Source organism: Homo sapiens, chromosome 2, assembly GCF_000001405.40.
Source record: "Homo sapiens chromosome 2, GRCh38.p14 Primary Assembly".
Taxonomy (NCBI): Eukaryota; Metazoa; Chordata; class Mammalia; order Primates; family Hominidae; genus Homo; species Homo sapiens.
Genome location: NC_000002.12, coordinates 150,082,864 through 150,087,995, shown reverse-complemented (window position 1 = coordinate 150,087,995; position 5,132 = coordinate 150,082,864). Strand labels below are relative to the sequence as shown.

The window sequence follows — 5,132 nt, the reverse complement described above, 5'->3', positions numbered from 1 at the left end:
AGAGTATCTCTCTATATATGGATATCTTCTGTCCTCAACTCTCTCTACCTTTCCCTCTCTTATTATTATTTCTCTTATTATTGGATATTTAGCGCTTCTTTGCTGTTACAAAAATGCTGCAATAAACATTCTTGAAAAAAGAGTCTTGAATTACAAAGACAATGTATCAATATATCTGTAGTATAAATACTTAGATCTGAAAATATTGGTCAAGGGGTATGTAAATTTTTACTTTTCATAGAAATTGACAAATTATGCTAAACATAAACTTTGCTGATTTATACATCCAATAACAATGGGTAAGAATTTCTGTTTCTACACAATCCCGGTGACACACTATTTTACAAAATATTTTGACCCTTGCCACTTTGATACATGAAAAAAAAGTCTCCCTCAAGTTTTATTTTGAGGATAAACATTTTTCTCTTACATTTATAAACTGTATTCCTTTTCTTCTGCGTTTCTTGTCCATTTCTCTGGGATCATTGCTATTTTTTTCACTGATTTACTAGAGCTCAATGTATCTTATGGATATAGCCTTTTTCCATATACAATGCAAATATATTTTATTCTGGTATGTTTTGTCTTTTAAGTTTATGGTGTTTTAACCATGCAAATATTTTAATTTTTATGCAAAGAGTTTAATTTTATTATGTTTTCTGGGTTTTGTTTCTTACTCCACAGGCTTTTCCTCCAAGAAGCTATAAATAATTATCCTATATTTTCTCCTATTACTTATATAGTATCTCATTTTGCATTAAAACCTTTAAACCATTTTATTTATTTTTGTATAAAAAGTGTGATTAGAGACCCAACTTCTCAGTCTTACTCCTCTGGCTAGTTATTTGTTCCAATTCCATTTTTTTGATAATTCATTTTTTGATCACAATTAAATTTCACCATGTATTGGCTCTATTTATGAAATGTCTACTCTGGAAAATCTATTATAGAATGTTTATTACTGGTATCCTATAATATGTCTAATAATTAGAAGGCCTAGTATTTATTATTATTCTTATTCTTTGAAACTTTTCTGCAGTCTTATAAATTGGAATTCTTGTCAAAAATTATTGTTGGTATTTTGATTGTGACTGAATTAAAGTTATGAATTAATTAAGGGAGAAGGTCTATTTTGTATATTCTGAACAGAGGTGATATTACCCCTAAAAGGACAAAGATTGGTTTGGAGAGAAAAACACTTACTCTTTTTATGTTTAAAGAACAGATATATATGTAATAAATAAAAAAATATATATTTAGTATACCTGTAGTATTAAAATCTAATGGGAGGAAGTGATTAAGAAAAAAATATTTTTAAAAATCTCCTTAGAAAGACTACAATGAAAATACAGTCGAGAAACACTATTCTATTGATAGAAAGCTGATCACTGTTATCTGAGAATAAGTCACTTCTTCATATTTACTTAAGTCTTTTAGATGCAACAGTGAAGTTGTTGTTTTTGTTTTTGTTTTCTTCCAAATAGATCTGGGGCATTTGTTTCTAGGTATTTTACCTTTTTTTAATAGATGGAATTTTTATTCCATTATATTTTCCTACCAATTATGATTTACATTTAGAAAAACAATTGTATATTAATCTTCTACAGTCAAGCTACTGAATGTTTAATTATAATGGTGTTATAGTTGTTTTTCCTCATTTGTCAAAACTTATCTGCAAATAATAAAAATTGGCCAGGCGTGGTGGCTCACACCTGTAATCCCAGCACTTTGGGAGGCCAAGAGGGGTGGATCATGAGGTCGGGAGATTGAGACCATCCTGGCTAACACGGTGAAACCCTGTATCTACTAAAAATACAAAAAAATTAGCCAGGCATGGTGGTGGGCATCTGTAGTCCCAGCTACTTGGGAGGCTGAGGCAGGAGAATGGCGTGAACCCAGGAGACGGAGCTTGCAGTGAGCCGAGATCGCGCCACTGCACTCCAGCCTGGGCTACAGAGTGAGACTCCGTCTCAAAAAAAAATAAATAAATAAAATAATAATAATAAGTTAGCGTCATTCCTTCTAATCATTATGCTTCTTATTATTCTGTTTTGGCTAAGGGTATTTCTAATGCTTACAGAAAATTAAAACTAATAAAGATGGTAGACATCTAGCTTATATCTCATTTTAATGAAAATTTTTTTAGTATTTTACCATTGAGCTTATGTCGATTCAATGTTATTATTGGGAGATTATAAATCAATTTCTGTTATAAAAGACATTTATCAAATGCCTTTTGGCATTTATGGAGATAGTCAAATGAGTGCTGTCCTGGGATCTCTAATTATGCACATTGTGTTACTAGAGCACCGTATATTGAACTATCCCTGCATTCCTGGTATAAACTCCATATGTTTGTGGTACATTATCTTATAGCATGTGACTGTGGTTTATTTGACAATATGCTGCTTTTGGTTTTTGCTATAATAAAATAATGTTTTTATTTAATTTTATTGCACCATGCTATTTTGTCAGGTTTTGGTAACAGGAGCTTCATAAAACAAGTACATAAACTTTACCTTTTTTCTCTATTTTCAAAAACATTTTCCTTTTTTTTTTTTTTCATTTTATTTGAGATGGAGTCTGGCTCTGTCACCCAGGCTGGAGCCAATGGCATGATTTTAGCTCACTGCAACCTCCACCTTCTGGGTTCAAGTGATTCTCCTGTCTCAGCCTCCCAAGTAGCTGGGACAACAGGTGTGCACCACCATGTCTGGCTATTTTTTTTTTTATTTTTAGTAGAGACAGGGTTTCACCATGTCAGCCAGGCTGGTCTCAAACTCCTGACCTCAGGTGATCCAACCGCCTTGGCCTCCCAAAGTGCTGGGATTATGGGCGTGAGCCACCGCGCCCAGGCTGAAACATTTTCAGATAAGATTAGATTTCTTATTTCTTACAGATTTTATAGATTCAACTGTAAAAAATGTCTGAACCAAGTACTTTTGTTTTTGATGTTCTCCTGACAACTTTTTCATTTTAACTTCATATTTTTACCAGGATATATTTTGGCAATTTGTTCCTTTGAACCTAGCTTTCAAATTTTTTTTCTACAGAATGGAGCAAAGTAAAATTTCTTTGTATCTGTGCCTATTTTCTCTATTCTAATAGATAATTTTGTACATTCATGTTTTTTTCTCTCTTTATACACCATACCTTTGTTTATTTTTTATTAGTTTAGCTAATGGTTTGCTCTCTCTCTCTCTTCCCCCCACATTTTGCTCACTATTCCTCTATCTCTTTCTCTCTGTTCCTCTTGTTTTTGCTCTCATGATGTTTCTCTCTTTTTTTCTCTCCAGAAACCAAATCATGGACTCAATTAATAGTTTTATCTTTTGCTTCCTGTTTTCTAATTTACTTATTTCTACTATTTTATTTTTCTTTCTTCCTTTTTTCTTACATTTATTTAGTTGTCCTTTTCTCAACTTTAAAAATTTTATACTTTATTCACTTTTTTATGGAAAAAGTGGAAAAAGAGTTTTATTTTTGTAGAAAAAGAGGATTGTAAAAATACAGCATGAAGTAGATTTTCTACAGTGTCCTTTGAGGCTTTTAAGTAAGGATTCAGAATATTTTATTTATTCTTATTTGATGAACTGCTCTCATTTCAACCACATAACAAAATCAGACAGCATGTGTTGATTAGGGTTTTAAGCATTATTCAAATTGACTAAGAAAATTACACTTTCTTCAACATTTATTGATATTTCGAAAAAGAATATATAGTTATGTGATCTCACAAGTCTCCTAACCAAATATACCTTTCTTTCCATCATTGCAGGTCACTTGACCCTTACCTCTGGCTGTGGGGTAGTAAGTGTACTTGGCTGGGGATGTTAAGAAACTTTAATTCAATTCTTAGGGCATGCAGTAGGAAGTCCTCCTTGCCCTGCTGCCACCTTACAACCCCACTCTAACGTGACATCTCTTGCCATGCTACATTCTTACCTTGTTCCTCAGACCTGCAAGCAGATCGTTTTTAATGCCTGGACTCTAGTACTTCTCTTTTTTTTTTTTTTTTTTTTTTTTTTTTTGAGACGGAGTCTTGCTCTGTCACTCAGGCTGGAGTGCAGTGGCGCGATCTTGGCTCACTGCAAACTCTGCCTCCCAGGTTCAAGCGATTCTCCTGCCTCAGCCTCCTTAGTAGCTGGATTACAGGCACACGCCACCACGCCCAGCTAATTTTTGGGTTTTTAGTAGAGACGGAGTTTCACCATGTTGGCCAGGATGGTCTCAATTTCCTGACCTCGTGATTCTCCCACTTCGGCCTCTCAAAGTGCTCAGATTACAGGCGTGAGCCACCGTGCCCGGCCACTTCTCTTGATCCCATGTCTACTATCACTCTCCACTGAAGGTCAGTCTGCCTTGGTCTCCATGGCCTTCTCCAAACTGCCCAGCAGATAAGAGACTTCTGCTTTTAACACCATCCTGAAAGGCTGGGTCTTGTTATTCATTGACAGATTTTCGTATGTTCATTTATGCACATTTACTCATTCACCAGGCATGTATAAAGTACCAATTTCGAGTCAAATAGTGTGCTAGAAAGCAGAGATATAAAAAAAAAATACAGCAGAATATGGGTCCTTCCTTTTAGTGGCATAAAATGTAGTGGAAGGTGACCCACGGACATGGACCTGAAATGACTAAATCTAGATTCTTGGGTCCTGAGTTCTGATATGGCATCCTGAAACTTCTTGATGGTTTTGCTAATTGCTTACCTTCATGGTCACGTGTAGGATATTTCTATGATCTCCTAATTTTACTTTCCCTTTGTTTAACTTGATCTGTCCCCCCGTTTTTGTTGTTGTTTTTTCAATGCCTGCCTCTTTCCTGTCAGGTCTTAGTTTCTCATACATTGCTCCTTCTGCTGCAGTTCTCCCTATACCTGATTATACCACAGGCCATATCTTTAACATATTAATTTTATATGTGCTTTGTTCATGCAGAAAAACCAGTTCAGGAGCAAAGATAGCATATGCATATCTATTATTCACTAAATATATATCAAAGCTGCCCTGAAGTTTTTTTTTTTTTTTGCTTTATTTTATTTGAAGTATCAAACTTGAATTTATAATCATCTTTTTTTTCTGAAAAAAAAAAAGATCAAGAAAGACTTCCAGGAATCAAAAGAGTTA

At 34.2% G+C, this 5,132-nt stretch overlaps 1 annotated feature.

Moving 5' to 3' along the window:
• Window positions 4,355-4,555: a silencer, noted in NCBI's record as "peak3898 fragment used in MPRA reporter construct". NCBI's record gives its function as "represses an SCP1 promoter by STARR-seq MPRAs in K562 erythroleukemia cells {active_cell/tissue: K562}" and the evidence as "EXISTENCE:reporter gene assay evidence [ECO:0000049][PMID:32103011]".